The sequence below is a fragment of the Homo sapiens genome, chromosome 13 (assembly GCF_000001405.40).
Source record: "Homo sapiens chromosome 13, GRCh38.p14 Primary Assembly".
NCBI lineage: Eukaryota > Metazoa > Chordata > Mammalia > Primates > Hominidae > Homo > Homo sapiens.
The window spans coordinates 107,773,752-107,791,690 of record NC_000013.11 but is presented as its reverse complement, the minus strand read 5'-3'; the positions used below and the strand labels follow the sequence as shown (position 1 = coordinate 107,791,690).

At 40.0% G+C, this 17,939-nt stretch overlaps 1 protein-coding gene and 1 long non-coding RNA gene across 2 annotated transcripts in view, besides 1 other annotated feature; both read left to right on the top strand.

Moving 5' to 3' along the window:
* The window catches only part of NALF1-IT1 (NALF1 intronic transcript 1), a 48,098-nt gene extending 43,768 nt beyond the window's left edge, over positions 1-4,330 (top strand). Inside the window, exon 2 of the long non-coding RNA NR_046848.1 lies at positions 2,581-4,330. This is a non-coding gene — a long non-coding RNA (NALF1 intronic transcript 1). The remainder of the gene's footprint in view (positions 1-2,580) is intronic.
* Positions 1-17,939, top strand: part of NALF1 (NALCN channel auxiliary factor 1) — a 703,987-nt gene that overhangs the window by 75,806 nt on the left and 610,242 nt on the right. The gene's annotated exons all lie outside the window — the stretch shown is intronic.
* Positions 1,159-1,328: an enhancer, noted in NCBI's record as "experimental_31956 CRE fragment used in MPRA reporter constructs". NCBI's record gives its function as "activates a minimal promoter by MPRAs in K562 erythroleukemia cells, with activity observed for the introgressed 13:108442796 variant allele {active_cell/tissue: K562}" and the evidence as "EXISTENCE:reporter gene assay evidence [ECO:0000049][PMID:34662402]".

Below are 17,939 nucleotides of genomic sequence, written 5' to 3'. Positions count from 1 at the left end.
TCATGTGCTTCAAATGTAAGGATTCTTGGTAAACTCATTATTATTTGTTCACAACATTATATTTTTGTCAATTCTGAGTACAATTCTTTTTATGACTTACTGCAAAAGGAATTTTAAAAATAAAATATCCATTAGAAGAACCAAAGGATCATCATATAGCCTAAACTAATGTTTTTTGGGTTTCTGCATTAAAAATATATCTAATTACAAAAGTATGACATGCCCTTGTGGAAAACTTGACAAAAGCCTAAAGTCTAAAACGATAATCACCCATGCCCCAGGAGTAATCACTATAGAGTGAAGACATAGATGATTGATAGCTAGCTAGCTAGCTAGATATGATAGACAGGTACATAGTTTTTGTCTTTTTGAAAAATCAGGATTGTACTGTAGATGATACTTTTAATTTTGCTGTTTCCATTAACAGCATAGCCATTTTAAGCTATTACAAATTTTAGGGAATATTTGATAAATATTGCCAAACTTTTGGCAAAAACATTTTTACCATTTTATATTCTCACCAATCATACTGTAGTTGCAACAAACCTGAATATTAGTAACTTTACATTTTTTCTATATTAAATAAGCAAAATAAATAGGAAAAGGTGGATTTTATTTTTCCATTTGCCACCTTTACAACCTTTTTAAAAAGTATATGAGACTAATAACATTTTTAGGTTTGTGGGTAGTTTTCACCATCTCCTTCCAGGATTATCTTAGGATCAGATGCTGTTTTTGCTATACTGTCTTATGATTTTTCCTAATGGTGCTGTAAGCTCTTTAGAGAATAAGAATCCTGTATTTTTAATATGATGTAACACTGTTATAAGTCTATGTTTATAGATTTTTATTTAGCCTGTATATTATATAACTAAAAGACCTCTAAAATAAGGCCCTAACCTGCACCCATTTTCTATGCATTTTTTCCCCAAATCCATTTAATACTGTACCCATAGATGGCTAAAAATTAACACTCCTTGGTTAACTATGAACATGGTGAAACAGCTGCTTCTTTTATTCGCATAAATGTATGCAGAATTGCTATGCTATTTTAATAACTATGCAATAGACACATCTTGCCATGACTCATTTCATGTTGCTGTTAGTGAATTATGTGTATGTGATCTGACATACAGATTTCAGCCCTGTTTTATTCAATTTATCTTCATCATCATCAGTAAAACTTCATCATATAGGAGATGATGGGTAAATGATTACTTACAGAACAGATTTAAATTAATTAGACAATGTATAGTTTATTCTATAAATGCTTTCATCTAAGCTTCCAAAATAAAATTAGTCTTTGTAATATTTTAGTATCCACCCTTTATGCTTTCTTCAATTTGTTGCCTATTTAAGAGTTAATTTTGACATATTCTTTGTACTGTATTATTCCACTTTTTTCTGTAAATGTTTTTTGTCATGTTATGTTTAATACTTTTTATTTTATTTTAGCCAAGTTGTATATGTAAATACACGTGAAAGACTTTGAGTAGTGCTTGGTATAAAGTACTTAATAAACATTGATGGTTGCCATTCTGTAAATGCTTCAGGAAAATTCTTAAATATTATGTCTGAACCACTCTAGTTTCCTAAATTAGCCTATGGTCTATGAGTCTTGATGGTTTTGCATTGTAAGATAGCAGTAATTTTATGGAGGCAGCACTGTAAACCTGCACTATTGAACATTTTCAAATATTGTGTACAGTGTACAAGGGAGTGAATGAGTCCTGAATAGCACAATTTGCCATTTTAATTTTCCTAAACAAAAGTTTAGTTTCTTTTATCCTTATTTGCCTATATACGTAACTCAAGACATAATAGTTGGTTGACAAGTTTCTGTCCAGATTATTACAGTTCACCAGGAATTTAGGTGAATATAACCAACTCCCTGGCAGCATATTGCCGTGCAGAGAGCATGGGCATTCGGCTGGGAGACCTGGGTGCCAGTTCTGATTTTGCCACTTTGTAGCTATATCACCCTGAAAAAGAATCTGTCTGAGTCTCAGTTTTATTATCTCTAACATGGAAAAAGAATGTTTGCTTCCATTTTAGTATGATTTTGATGCTTAAAAAAGAACAAAAAAGTGATGGTGTTTGGGGTGTAGCCATTGCTTACTATGTCTCTGTTCTTTTTCACTCTTGCTCTTTCTAGCCTGTATATCTCATGATCCAGAATGACAAAGAAATGATGAGATAAAGATGAAGTAAGCATAGTTTCCCAACAATAAACGATCTGTGTATAAAGATTTTATCCTGTAAGGTGGAACTTTTTATGATTTTAAGACAGGAATTGCCTGACGACATTCATACCCATTTGTAACTGAATTAATGAAGTACTTTTTAAAGCAAAAGAGATTTTCAAAAATTGTGAAATCACTCTGTACTTATTGTTGTAATTAAACTGTGGAGTAGAGATCACAGTCTTATCAAAATTTAATTTTAGTAAATTCAAGCCAAGCCACTAAAATTTTAATTGTAGTATCATGATCTCTCTTGTCCTTTACTTGTATACACACACAAAATTTCCTTCTGTTATTTCATCGTGTTTCCTAATTCTTATTTCTTCTCTTGATCCAGTTCAGATAAGCCTGTGATCCACTCCACGGCAACCCGAGGGAGAGGTCAAGTCACACAGAGCTCTGTGTCACCCCCTGACAGTTTCCTCACCACAGTCAGAATGGCACTTGTGACAGACACTGGAGTTTCTCTGCTATCTAATTAAGGTTCCATTAACTTAACTAGGTTAACCATATTTGCTTTCTATTATGGCCAACCTCCAGGCCAGAATTTCAATAATTATCATATATTGTTGATTTTTTTTTTCCACAAACGCTTTCCGGTTGCCACTATCCTTCAGCAATTGGGCAAGCCTTCTGTCTATGTGACAAAATTTTTTTTTTTTAAAAAAAGGATACAATCAAACTGCGTTCATTGATTGGCAGATATATTCTAGCTGCTAAATGAGCTGCTGGGGTCCTCCAGATAAGCCCCTGCATTCTGGAGCTTGCCCTGCAGTGGGTGACATGGACATGTTCAGCAGAGCTGTGTAATGACTGCGGCCATGTGCCGGTAGATTCCAAGTGCTGTGTTATCACACATGAGGAAAAACTGGGCAGTCATGGAACCATTACTGGAAGAGGAAAGGGCTAGAGTGAATCCAAAATTTCAACTAGAGATTGGCCATGGGAAGAGAGAGGAAGAAGATATTGCAGGAAGAAAGGTAGTGACTTGAACACATTTGGAAAAGTGCATTTATTCAACAAGATCCACCAGTGCAGGAAGAAGAGAGAGAGAGAGAGAGATGATGTCAGACCATGAATGTCCCAAATAGAAAAATTAAAAAGGGAAACTTTGTTATCAGATAGATTGACTTTAAAAAACATAACATTTGGGCCCAATTATGGACAACAGATCAGTGAGGGCAAAATGAGACACGCAGATAATAACTGGGAGGCTGTTACAATGATCCAGTTGAAAAACAAGGAGGATAAGCTAATTTTGGGATGATAGGATGAAGAAAATAGAAAAAAAAGGAGTTACAATAGACAGGATTCAAACAAGGAGGATGAAGAAGATTTAAATGCTAAGGATGACATCCAGAGTACAGACTGACCCAAATGTCTAGATGGTGGCTCCGCTGGGCAAGCTAAAGAAATGGTGAAGTCAACTCAGGACACGCTGACTTTGAGAGATTCAAGGGACAATTCATGCAAACCGTGGGTTGGCAGATGCACATCTAACCTGGGGATAAGGATGTAATATAAGATAAAGCTTTCAATTCCTAACAATGAATGAAATTATCAAGGTCTAAAAAAAGAATTATATTACCTAGGAAGATTGGATTTGCAGATGCACTTATTATTTATCAGTAGATGCACTTATTATTCAAGCACATATACTACAGTGTTCAGGAAAGAGTGGCTTTAAGTATTTTCTATGAGACAGATGTATTAGTTTGCAAGAGGTTTTATACTGGTAGTAATTTTTTCTAAAAACATAACTTCAGAAATACTTAATTGTACTTAATCATTTACTAGAATAAATGATATACTAGTTACGGGAATGTAGCAAGAGTCAGGTAGCTCTCAATTCCATTCTCTGAAAGTCAGAAAAAGACACGGAAATATTGGTATTAGCTAATTAATTGCTTTACCGTGACCCACGTAACAACAGGTTTGGTGTCATTGATTGTAAAACTATAGACCCATAAACTGTGAATCATAAAGAGAACAGAAGGCATATTTGGGACTCAACCCATGTGTCTGACTTTGCATTACCTTTGAGCTTCTAATAAAGTTTGTATCTTTAAATAAACCAATTACATAGACATTCTTACCATATAATTGTGATGATAATATTTTCAGCTGTAAACATATTATTGGAAAAATTTAAGGCCAGAGTTTTAGATTATTGAAAAAAATTAGTGTTTATGCATATATATGGATTTCTCATCAACATAAGAATATATTCTGTTATGGGTGTACAAAGAACTGGTTAAAAGTATTTTCTTAAATCTTCAGTAATGAATAGTGATGATAGTTTAATATTATCTTAAAAGAGTAATATTAGATGTACATAATAGATCTAATATTTTCTTTGTAGGTCAGGAGTAGGTGTAGGAGACTAAATGAAATAATAGCATGAAATGATTATATAAACATTCTCAGGTATATCTACCACTCAGGGTATGAATCTCTCTGAACTTCAGTGCTCTTACTTCAGAAATGAAGATATCTCAGGCGTCCATTGTCCCCACTAGATCTACTTTCCAACATTGTTTGCTCCGCTCTCAGCTCCTAGAAGTGGACCTGTAGCATCAGTGAGTTAGATTTCAGTGAGTTTCATAGTCATTTTGGCGAGAAAAGTGATTGCCTTGGAAGGAGATGAGAGGGAGAGAAGAGCCTGAGGTCAGGCATATATTCTCTCTCTCTTTCTCTCTCTCTCTTTTTTTTTCTGAGATGGGGTTTCTCTCTTGTTGCCCAGGCTGGAGTGCAGTGGCGCGATCTTGGCTCACTGCAACCTCCGCCTCCCAGGTTCAAGTGATTCTTCTGCCTCAGCCTCCCGAGTAGCTGGGATTACAGGCACCCGCCACCACGCCCAGCTAATTTTTTTTATTTTTAGTAGAGATGGGGTTTCGCCATGTTGGGCAGGCTGGTCTCAAACTCCTGACTTCTGACTTCAGGTGATCCGCCCACCTCAGACTCCCAAAGTGTTGGGATTACAGGAGTGAGCCACCGCGCCCGGCTTTTTTTTTTTTTTTTTTTTTTTTTTGAGAAAGAGTTTCGCTCTTGTTGCCCAGGCTGGAGTGCAATGGTGCGATTTCAGCTTACTGCAACCTCTGCCTCCCAGGTTCAAATGATTCTCCTGTCTCAGCCTCCTAAGTAGCTGGGATTACAGGCATGCACCACCACGCTCAGCTAATTTTGTATTTTTAGTAGAGATGGCGTTTCACCATGTTGGTCAGACCAGTCTCGAACTCTTGACCTCAGATGATCTGCCCGCCTCAGCCTCCCAAAGTGCTGGGATTACAGGCATGAGCACCTCACCCTGCCCATTAATTCTCTTGAGTTCCTTCCTGTGAGGGTTCCTTGTCCTGGCTAAGTCCTCAACAAAACCTTTGCTCTTCTAAAAGAAACTGTCTCTGGGACTCTGTGACTTTCTTTCTGAGCCCTCTCCATAGTCTTGTCTTTTGAGTCTTGGCTGTGGGAACACTCTGCCTGGCTTTTACACCAAAGTTCATGGTACCCCTACCTCTTGCCCACAATTCTCTCTCTCTAAATAAAACCTCCTCACATTGTCCCAATTTGAGTGTCCTCTGTGGCCTGTAAGATCCTGATTGATAACACGTTCACCAGGATTACAGAAAATTATTCTTTGTTTCTGTAGGTTTGAGAACCACTGTCATCAAAGTACAGCCTTCAAAAAGTCTGTAAAGGGGAACCATTATTATAGGTATTTATTTGCATCTCACTGGAGCAATCTCTTTTTTATCCCACAGGTTATTGGGGTACAAGTGGTATTTAGTTACATGAGTAAGTTATTTACTGGTAATTTGTGAAGTTTTGGTACACCCATAACCCAGGTAGTATACACTCAATGCTATTTGTAATCTTTTATCTGTTACCCCTCTCTCACCCTTCCCCGCAAGTCCCCAAAGTCCATTGTATCATTCTTATGCCTTTGCATCCTCATAGCTTAGCTCCCACCTAGTGAAAACATACGATGTTTGGCTTTCCATACCTGAGTTACTTCACTTAGAATAATAGTCTCCAATCTCATCCAGGTCGAGGCAAATGCTGTTAATTCATTTCTTTTTATGGCTGAGTAGTATTCCATCATATAGACCATGTCTTTATGGCTCTTGGAAGGAGACGTCTTCTCTCAGTCACTCACTGAGGGGAGCGGTTTTGTGGAATCAGCACATAGTAATCCTACTGCCTCCTGGGAGCTCAGCTCTGAAAGTGTACTGGGTAGAGGAGGAAGTGAGTGCATCTCTCACAGTAAATGGTTTTTATAAGATTTACTTACAAAACCATATATATATACACACACATATATATGAATATATATATACATATACATACATATATATGTGTGTGTATATATACATACACACACACATACACAGACACATACACACACACCACAGTTTATCCACTCGTTGATTGATGGGGCATTTGGGCATTTGGGTTGGTTCCGCGATTTTGCAATTGTGAATTGTGCTGCTATAAACATACGTGTGCAAGTATCTTTTTCATATAATGGTATCTTTTCCTCTGGGTAGATACCCGGTAGTGGGATTGCTGGATCAAATGGTAGTTCTACTTTTAGTTCTTTAAGGAATCTCCACACAGTTTTCCATAGTGGCTGCACTACTTTACATTCCCACCAGCAGTGTAGAAGGATTCCCTAATTGCCACATCCACGCCAACATCTACTTTTTTTTTGATTTTTTGATTATGGCCATTCTTGCAGGAGAAAGGTGGTATCGCATTGTGGTTTTATTTTGCATTTCCCTGATCATTAATGATGTTGAGCATTTTTTCATATGTTTGTTGGCTATTTGTGTATCTTCTTTTGAGAATCGTCTATTCATGTCCTTAGCCCACTTTTTGAGGGAATTGTTTGTTTGTTTGTTTGTTTTTTTCCTACTGGAGCAACCTCTTTTTAATTTGACTTTAAATATTGATCAGAACAGACCTTAAAATGTTTCATCTGTGACACTTTAAGATAATCCGAGGAGCTTTCTATTCTATATAAAGAAGAAAATGAGTGAATAATTTACTAGGAAAAATTTTTATGAACTGACAACTAGGAACAGCTATGCTGGTATTTGTGGATGCCTTTGTATGATAGCACAGGATAATTGCTTGTTTCAGTAGTTACCTGCAGCATGCGGTTTCCATGCTTTCACCTCCTGTTCGGGTTGTTTAAAAACACAATTTCTACTTGAGACCCATCACTGAAAGTCAGCGGGGCAGTAGTTATTTCGCTACTCTTTGCGTGTCTTTGTGGAAATCTACTTTTCTAAACTAAACAAGTATATGTAGATCCTATTGTGTACAAGTGTTCCTGAAATCCCATGCAGCTTGGCATCTAAAATACTATCTACAGCTGGCACCTCTTCATGGCTCTTGGAAGGAGACGTCTTCTCTCAGTCACTCACTGAGGGGAGCGGTTGTGTGGAATCAGCACATAGTAATCCTACTGCCTCCCGGGAGCTCAGCTCTGAAAGTATACTAGGTAGAAGAAGAAGTGAGTGCATCTCTCACAGTAAATGGTTTTTATAAGATTTTCTTTTTTTTTTTTTTTTTAATTTTTATTTTTATTGATCATTCTTGGGTGTTTCTCACAGAGAGGGATTTGGCAGGGTCATAGGACAATAGTGGAGGGAAGGTCAGCAGATAAACAAGTGAACAAAGGTCTCTGGTTTTCCTAGGCAGAGGACCCTGCGGCCTTCCGCAGTGTTTGTGTCCCTGGGTACTTGAGATTAGGGAGTGGTGATGACTCTTAACGAGCATGCTGCCTTCAAGCATCTGTTTAACAAAGCACATCTTGCACCGCCCTTAATCCATTCAACCCTGAGTGGACACAGCACATGTTTCAGAGAGCACAAGGTTGGGGGGTAAGGTCACAGATCAACAGGATCCCAAGGCAGAAGAATTTTTCTTAGTACAGAACAAAATGAAAAGTCTCCCATGTCTACTTCTTTCTACACAGACATGGCAACCATCCGATTTCTCAATCCTTTCCCTGCCTTTCCCCGCTTTCTATTCCACAAAACCACCATTGTCATCATGGCCCGTTCTCAATGAGCTGTTGGGCACACCTCCCAGACGGGGTGGTGGCCGGGCAGAGGGGCTCCTCACTTCCCAGTAGGGGTGGCCGGGCAGAGGCGCCCCTCACCTCCCGGACGGGGCGACTGGCCGGGCGGGGGGCTGACCCCCCCACCTCCCTCCCGGACGGGGCGGCTGGCCGGGCGGGGGACTGACCCCCCACCTCCCTCCCGGACGGGGCGGCTGGCCGGGCAGAGGGGCTCCTCACTTCCCAGTAGGGGCGGCCGGGCAGAGGCGCCCCTCACCTCCCGGACGAGGCGGCTGGCCGGGCAGGGGGCTGACCCCCCCACCTCCCTCCCGGTCGGGGCGGCTGGCCGGGCGGGGGGCTGACCCCCCACCTCCCTCCCGGACGGGGCGGCTGGCCGGGCGGGGGGCTGACCCCCCACCTCCCTCCCGGACGGGGCGGCTGGCCGGGCGGGGGGTGACCCCCACCTCCCTCCTGGACGGGGCGGCTGCCGGGCGGAGACGCTCCTCACTTCCCAGACGGGGCGGCTGCCGGGCGGAGGGTCTCCTCACTTCTCAGACGGGGCGGTTGCCAAGCGGAGGGGCTCCTCCCTTCTCAGATGGGGCGGCTGGGCAGAGACGCTCCTCACCTCCCAGACGGGGTCGCGACCGGGCAGAGGCGCTCCTCACATCCCAGACGGGGCGGCGGGGCAAAGGCACTCCCCACATCTCAGACGATGGCCGGCCGGGCAGAGACGCTCCTCACTTCCTAGATGGGATGGCGGCCGGGAAGAGGCGCTCCTCACTTCCTAGATGGGATGGCAGCCGGGCAGAGACGCTCCTCACTTTCCAGACTGGGCAGCCAGGCAGAGGGGCTCCTAACATCCCAAACGATGGGCGGCCAGGCAGAGACGCTCCTCACTTCCTAGACGGGGTGGCGGCCGGGCAGAGGCTGCACTCTGGGCACTTTGGGAGGCCAAGGCAGGCGGCTGGGAGGTGGAGGTTGTAGCGAGCCGAGATCACGCCACTGCACTCCAGCCTGGGCACCATTGAGCACTGAGTGAACCAGACACCGTCTGCAATCCTGGCACCTCCGGAGGCCGAGGCTGGCGGATCACTCGCGGTAAGGAGCTGGAAGCCAGCCCTGCCAACACAGCGAAACCCCGTCTCCACCAAAAAATACGAAAACCAGTCAGGCGTGGCGGCACGCGCCTGCAATCGCAGGCACTCGGCAGGCTGAGGCAGGAGAATCAGGCAGGGAGGTTGCAGTGAGCCGAGATGGCGGCAGTACAGTCCAGCTTCGGCTCGGCATCAGAGGGAGACCGTGGAAAGAGAGGGAGAGGGAGACCGTGGGGAGAGGGAGAGGAGGGAGAGGGAGAGGGAGAGAAGATTTTCTTATAAAACCATTGCACAGAAGTGTAACTTAGCCTTTCCTTACAATTTTTATCACCAACTAAGCAATAATGCAAAACATAAAACAAAACAATAACAAAACAGTGTTTGGTTCATTTATTCATTCAACAGACTATACTAAGCTAGGCAGTGTGGGTTTGATAATTAATAAAACTTGTATTAGTTGTCCACATAATGATTACAGGCAATGCAGGCAACAGCAACATGCAATTAAATAAACAATTAACGTCAAAGAATAGAGCTTTTAGAGGCGTATAGCAGTGACATCTGACTCAAAATGAGATTGTGCACCAAATGAAGCAGTGCAAAGAAGAGATCCTGAGGATGGATCTAATGTGATCTAGTAAGCTGGCACATCTTTGATTCTGTCATTTAGTGAGAGTTGCTGATACATTTTTAAGTGATTTGACCAAACATCAAGCTCTCAAAACACAATTCAAATATGTAATGTTATTAGTAAGGGAAGGATAGATGTGGATAAATTTAAATAGCCCCTGGAGTTAGAAAGGAGACAGAGTATTTATATGTAGGGGTGGGAGCAAACTGAAGTAATATTTTGTATAGATCCAAAATGTAGATCAGATTAAAAAAATCTGTAAATTATACTCAGGCTGTTTCTTCAATGGAATGTTGATTTTTAAATCTCTTAAGGTTTATGTAATACAGCCTCTGCTACAAGTAGATACTCTGTCATATAGCACCCTGTTTTACCTTTAAATGATTAGTATGTTAAAGATTTATTAAATTAAAAATGAACATTCTTTTTTTGCAGAGGCATCTCTGGTTTCAAAAAACACAGAAACAAAATGAAATTTTTCATATGATAACCATATAATAATATTAGCATAGACAATACTAATTAGTTTTCTCCTGGCACAAGAAGAAATTTTTAGTGTTATCAACAGTAAAAAGTGATGCAAATCCACTATAAATTTGATAAGTATTTGACATTTCTCCTATGTTCCAGTTTGTGCAACTGATAAAACACTTAGCATATATTATCCAATTCAATAAATAAGCATCTAAAATGCCATCAGCAATATACTAAATGCTAAGAATATAAAGATGAATAAAAACTTGGTCTCCATTTTTCAAGAGCTCAGATTTTTATCAGTAAAGGCACTACAAAAAGATTATGAAGTCAGTTGGGGGCCCATGTAAAATGGTTACAGAGTAGTAATCATCATTGCCTAGCACTTTACAGAAATTAAAACTCTTGTATTTTTAGTAGAGACAGGGTTTCACCATGTTAGTCAGGCTGGTCTCAAACTCCTGACCTCAGATGATCCACCTGCCTCGGCATCCCAAAGTGCTGGGATTACAGGTGTGAGCCACCACCACTGTTGGTGGGCGCCTGTAATCCCAGCTGCTCAGGAGGCTGAGGCAGGAGAATTGCTTGAACCCGGGAGGAGGAGGTTGCAGTGAGCCGAGATCACATCATTGCACTCCAGCCTGGGTGACAGTGAGACTGCGTCTTAAAAAAAAAAAAAAAGTTAAAACTCTTTTCCAATACGTTGTCTCATTGGGTACTTTCAACACCTGTGAGAAATAACCATAATTTTAATCATTCCTATATTAAACATCAGAAACTTAAAATTGAGCAAAGACAGGACTTTTTTTCTAAGGCACAGAAAAATTGTGCCCAATGTCAGTGTTGAACGCAAGCAAAAACTGTGAAAAAGTGGAGAACCTGAGTAAAAGGTAAAGTGTTTAGTTGGGTGGGAGCTGAAATACGGAAATTAAGAAGGGAAGGCAAACTACAAATAGTGAAAGGATCACACATATAAGTGTAAGGGAAGATTGAGATTGGCTAACTGCAAGGAGTTTTTAAATCTAAGGGCAGTAAATTATGTAGGAGATTGCCACGGGCCACAAACAAATGTTTCTGCAATAACAACAACACAACCACAACAACAAAACCGCAGTAGCAATTGTAAAGTACATTCAGAAAAAAAAAAAAAAAAAGTATGTCTTGGAGATAGAGAACAAAGTAATAAGAGTACATTTGTATGAAGATAAACATTCCATACTAACTTTTAAAAATGCAATTTTGTTTTCCAAATGGCTTAAGACCAGGAAGCGTACTTTAACATTTACAGCAGAGACTGTCCAAGTTCAGGGTTCCAAGCATGAAATGAAAAGGGGATATTGAGTTGTTTGTATCTATTCAATAAGTAAAAATATGTTTCCTGAGGTTTTAGAACTGAGGTTTTAGAAGAAGGTGGAGACAAGAGGGGTAAAAGAAGGGATTCAATGGGAAACTTCAAAGTATTAATTAACTCATCCAACTGTGTAGAGATCTCAGCTTAATGTATGAAAATTCAGTGTCAAACTTAGTTTAAAAGGCAGACTACAGAACGAGTGCTTGGCAAGCCAGGAATCAACGCACTTTTGTCAGCTAGAATGGTTTGGCTCCAAGGGAGTGTGAGCAGTGAAGAGCATTTCAAGTGGAGGAATAGGAGGAGAATCTCCTTCACCCTACTCACTGTAAGCATTGTAAGGCACATGGAAATACAGGAATGTTTGAAAGCCACTGGATCCGATTTGGAAGCAATATCATCATAAGTGTGACTCAGATAATGTATAGGATCTGAACTGGATACTCCTTAAAGGACATATGGAAAGAAAATGACTTAAAGATGTGATAATGCCTTTCCACATGTAGTCATGAAGGTGATATCAGAGGTAGCCTTTTCTGGTTCTGAGCAAACTTTGGCAGGATTAAAATGGCCTGAGAGGAAACCACAAACTAGGATATTAGAATTAATTTTATAAGAATGCAGGTGTAAACACATCCATCCCTTATTTAGATCAACATAATGCATAGCAGAAAAATGAAAGGTCAGTGAAATTTATGCATGAGAAAAGCATAAAGCTGCAAAAATATTTCATCTCTCTACAGTAATTCAGCCAAAATATTCAAAATATGAAATAATTAGCTTCTCATAAATCTCGACCTATAAAAGAAAGAAGCAGCAGAACTTGACTATTGACTGTAGAGAAGGTAAGGTTAAGAAGAGTTAAATAGTTAAATAGTAATACTTTTTTAATAAAAATAATTGATCCTGGGAAAAATCTGATAGTTTATGGTTAATACATATAGGTTTTGGAGGTGATAGTTGGATAGTGAGAACTGATGTTGAGAGCCACAGGCTGTTTTCAGGGAATCATCAAGTAACAACAGGTGATTGAGGGAGCCCTTACTGACCTGATGAATGAGTGGGGAGGGAAGAAAGAGGGTTCAGCATGAAAACTGAGTCATGGGGCCTTTGAATAGGGAGAGACCCTAAGGTTTATGGTCTCCATCTCCTGTCCACACTGAAAATTTGTGCTTAGGCCCTTCTAAACATAGGCAGTTTACTCAAACAAACAAATACAAAAACAAACAAACAAAAAAACAGAAAAAAAACAACTCCTGTTTTAATCCTAGCCTGAAACCTGCTTTCAACAGACTGCCAGCCATTGACTTTAGTTCTGCCATCAAGAGTCATATCTTTTCCAATTCCAGTTCCACATACAGGTCTTTAAAATTTGAATTCAGTGATCATACCCCCTTTAAGAATTCAGTTCAAGTTCAATATTCCCAGTTGCTTTAACCACTCCTCACACAGTGTCACATTAGATGTTCCACTCTTCTGGATTTCCTCCTCTGGGCACACTCTAATTAAATTCCTTCTTAAAACATGGTGACCAGATTTAAGCATGATGCTCCAAATACATTCCTTTACACCAAGGGATGGAGGAAGACAGATGTTTCCTTTGTTCTGAATCCTGTCATTCCATTCATGCAGCCTCAGTTTGCAGGGGAGTTTTGGCAGCCCAGTCTCTCTGTTCACTCCTGTTAAACAGTCACCCCAGAAGTCCTGGGTGTTTTCACACGTTATTTCATTTACCCAGGTCTCCCTCATCGCAGGATTTGGAGTCAATTATTTAAAAAGTAAAATGTGCAATTTGAATCTATCTTATTAAATTATATTTTTAATTCATCAGCAAATGAATCAGCAGAGAATTTGAACAAGATAGAAAGTAAAAACAATGTCACAAAGGCAAAGGAAGAACATTTCTGGGAGTATGTTGTAAAAATATGTTTCCCTTTTGTTAAACATATAAATTCCATAAACATACATCAGGGAGCCTTTGAAAGCTTTTTTCCCCTCAAGTTTCAATAACTGCCACTTTCTTCCTTTCCTATAATTTACATAAAATTAAATTTCTGTTCTTAAAGGCATTGATGGATGTATTAGGCCGTTCTTGCATTGCTACAAAGAAATACCTGAGGCTGGGTAAAGAAAAAGGGTTTAATTGGCTCACTGTTTTGCAGGGTGTAGAGGAAGCATAGCTCCAGCATTAGCTTGTGGGGAGGCCTCAGGAAGCTTACAATTAGGCAGAAGCTGGAGCAGGCACTTTACATGACGAATGCAGGAGCAAGAGAAAGAGTTGCGGGGAAGGTGCCACACGCTTTTAAACAAGCAGATCTTGCGAGAACTCACTCACTATCATAAAGAGAGCAGCAAGCCAGGAGAGATCTGCCCCCGTGATCCAAACACCTCCCACCAGGCTGGCCCTCCAGCATTGCAGATTGCAATTCAACGTGAGATTTGGGTGGGGACAAATATCCAAATTACGTCAATGGGTGTATCTGCCTTTCTTTATACTTAGCTATCGGCTGATAAAGCTCAAGAGGCAGACTTCTGGCTGTACCACCTCCTAGTTGTCTGTTTGGGGCAAATCTTAAACTTTTTCTAAACATAATTTTCTTACCTATAAAATAGGTACAATAATAAAATCTTCCTCATGAGGATGCTGTGACAGCCGTGCAAGATACTTTATGTGAAGTTTCGGGAAAATTGCCAGATATAGAAATATCAGTAAATGTTACCAGTTTTTTGTTCGTTCGTTTGTTTGAGACAGGTTCTTGCTCCATCACCCAGGCTGGAGTGCAGTGGCAGGATTACAGCTAACTGAAGCTTCAACCTCCTGGGCACAAGCATCTTCCCCCCCTCAGTCTCCCAAGCAGCTGGGACTATAGACGTGAGCCACCATGCCTGGCTAAGTTTTTAGATTTTTTGTACAGATAGGATCCTCCTACATTGCCCAGGCTGGTCTTAAATTCCTGGTCTCAAGGGATCCTCCTGCCTGGGCCTCCCAAAGTTTTGGGATTGCAGGCATGAGCCAACATGTCCGGCCAATTTTCAGTATTTTTATTAAGCCACCACTAAAACTGGTATTAGTTTATATTGCAGCATTTACATCAAAGCACATTTCATGTGTATTTTAAGTATGCATTTACATTTTTGTACATCCTAAAATCTGTCATGTTCTTAAGGCAATTGTTTCCTACTCAACTTTGTATTCATAAGATCTATCATGATTTCTAGCACACAGTAGGTATTCAATACATGCTTGTGAAATTAATGTAATAGATGAATTAATAAGTGTGGATATGGTGCAGTTTGAGAGTTCATCAGTCAGGCTATACTCTTGTTTAGTGATAGTGTTCACCGCGTTGTCATGCTGGTATAAATCTGTGACCTGTTCTTTATGCGTTAAGAATGATATTATTACTGAAAGCTTCCCATATGCCAGAAACAGCTTGTGTACAATTTTTCCTTTACTTCTCACTGCCACACTTTGAGATAGGGTCAATGACTAATCCCTTTTCACAGATGAGGAAACCAAGGTACCTAGACATTAAAAAAAATTACCCAAGAAAACTTACCCAGCTGATGAGAGATGGAGCAGGACTAGAACCTAGCCTGTCTGACTCCATAGCTGAGACAATTCATCACTGCCCTCTATTGCCTCTGCCTCTGCCAAATCAATGTGTCTAATGATAGTAATGATTTTAAAAATGCTCCAGATTTAGCTCAGTTTGTGCATTTGTTTTGTTCTCTCCCAACTGCTTTCAAAAGCTACAGCTGTTGGCCATGCCATGTCCTCTTTCCCTCTTGCTGCTGAAGCCAGCAAGTTGTACAGTTGACTTGAGAGAAAAACAAGGTCAACTTTCACTTTAGGGTGATTTTAGGACACTTTAGGACTATGATATCACCATTTGGCTCTTAGGCCAGGTGCATAAGAGTAAACCTGCTCTGACAGCCTAGCTTGGTCATTTCCTAACTAACCTCAGAGGTATTATTCAGCTTATCCAAACCTCAGTTGCCTTATCTTTGTGTGGGGAACATAATACTTTTCTATATTGTTGTAAAGAATAAATGAAATAAATGGCAATCATTAAATGGCATTCATTAAATGGCAATCATTAAAAAGTCAGGAAACAACAGGTGCTGGAGAGGATGTGGAGAAATAGGAACACTTTTACACTGTTGGTGGGACTGTAAACTAGTTCAACCATTGTGGAAGTCAGTGTGGCGATTCCTCAGGGATCTAGAACTAGAAATACCATTTGACCCAGCCATCCCATTACTGGGTATATACCCAAAGGACTATAAATCATGCTGCTATAAGGACACATGCACACGTATGTTTATTGCAGCACTCTTCACAATAGCAAAGACTTGGAACCAACCCAAATGTCCAACAATGATAGACTGGATTAAGAAAATGTGGCACATATACACCATGGAATACTATGCAGCCATAAAAAATGATGAGTTCATGTCCTTTGTAGGGACATGGATGAAATTGGAAATCATCATTCTCAGTAAACTATCGCAAGAACAAAAAACCAAACACCGCATATTCTCACTCATAGGTGGGAATTGAACAATGGGAACACATGGACACAGGAAGGGGAACATCACACTCTGGGGACTGTTGTGGGGTGGGGGGAGGGGGGAGGGATAGCACTGGGAGATATACCTAATGCTAGATGACGAATTAGTGGGTGCAGCGCACCAGCATGGGACATTTATACATATGTAACTAACGTGCACATTGTGCACATGTACCCTAAAACTTAAAGTATAATTAAAAATAAAGAATACATGAAATAAAATGTGAAAGCATCTAAAATGTTGTTTAGCTTAGAGTATAGCTTTGTGTTTCTGATCTCAGTGAAATTCACAGTTCATTGGGAGACATAGGCATTTACATCTATAACTGTAGTATGATGTGATCTCTAAGACACATGTGCATAATATAGAGATATCAGGGAAGAAAGAGCCCTCCTGACTCGGAAGAGAGGAAGGAAGAACCATAAGAGCTGAGATTTAGGGCTGTTTTTTTAAGGAAGGGTTTCAGCTCCTTCATAGCATGGCTAATTTAATAGTGATCCATTCCCAGAGACTCCGTAAGAACAAAAAAGAGCTATTTTCTCCACTTTCCATCCCCACTACCTAGCACTGAAGCTTTGCATATAATAGGTATTGCATATAATAGGAAGCCTTGCACATAATAGAAATGGCTGCTGGATAAATTATGGAACTACAGAGAATGTAGTAACCAAAGTTATATGCTGGTGTTAGGTAAGAAATGTATTTACCTCCATTTCACTAATAAACAATTTAGTCTCAGAGAGGTTTTAATTTGGCCAACATAGTTAATGTAGCCAGGAAAAGATAACGGAACATATACTATCTGACTGTAAAATTGCTGAATGTAATTTCTTAGGATTTTGTCCTAAATTGGAAAGAAATCCCGTAACAAAATCATATTCAAATTGATTTTGGAATCCAGTGGTGTTGCCTGTGGACTTCATTTCCCTAGCTGATTTATAAATTTCTTGAATCTGTTTAGAGCTGACACTAATATTTGTAAACCATTGAGAAAAATGTGTAGCATGATATGCAGAATTGGAGCTCTGTAACACACCTATGCACCTAAATACAAATACACATATTTAAATTGACACTGGATTACTGCTGCCATGTATCAGTCTTCTTAAATCCATTGGAAATATCAAGAGAAATGATTGAAGTAACTGTTCTTCTCACCTTCATAAAAAAGTACAATTTCTAGCTCAATTTCTGGAGCATAGAGACAATTAATGTTTGATGAATAGAAGCATAACAGGCTGACTTAACTAATAGTTTAAAATACTTGATCATTTAAGGGGGAAATCTATCTGCAGCAGGATCAAAAACACAAAATGATCTTTACAATATAGTTGATTGTACACTTATACAAAATAGTGACACTCATTTTATTTTTTTATTATTATTATACTTTATGTTTTAAGGTACATGTGCGCAATGTGCAGGTTTGTTACATATGTATACATGTGCCATGTTGGTGTGCTACACCCATTTACTCGTCATTTAGCATTAGGTATATCTCCTAATGCTA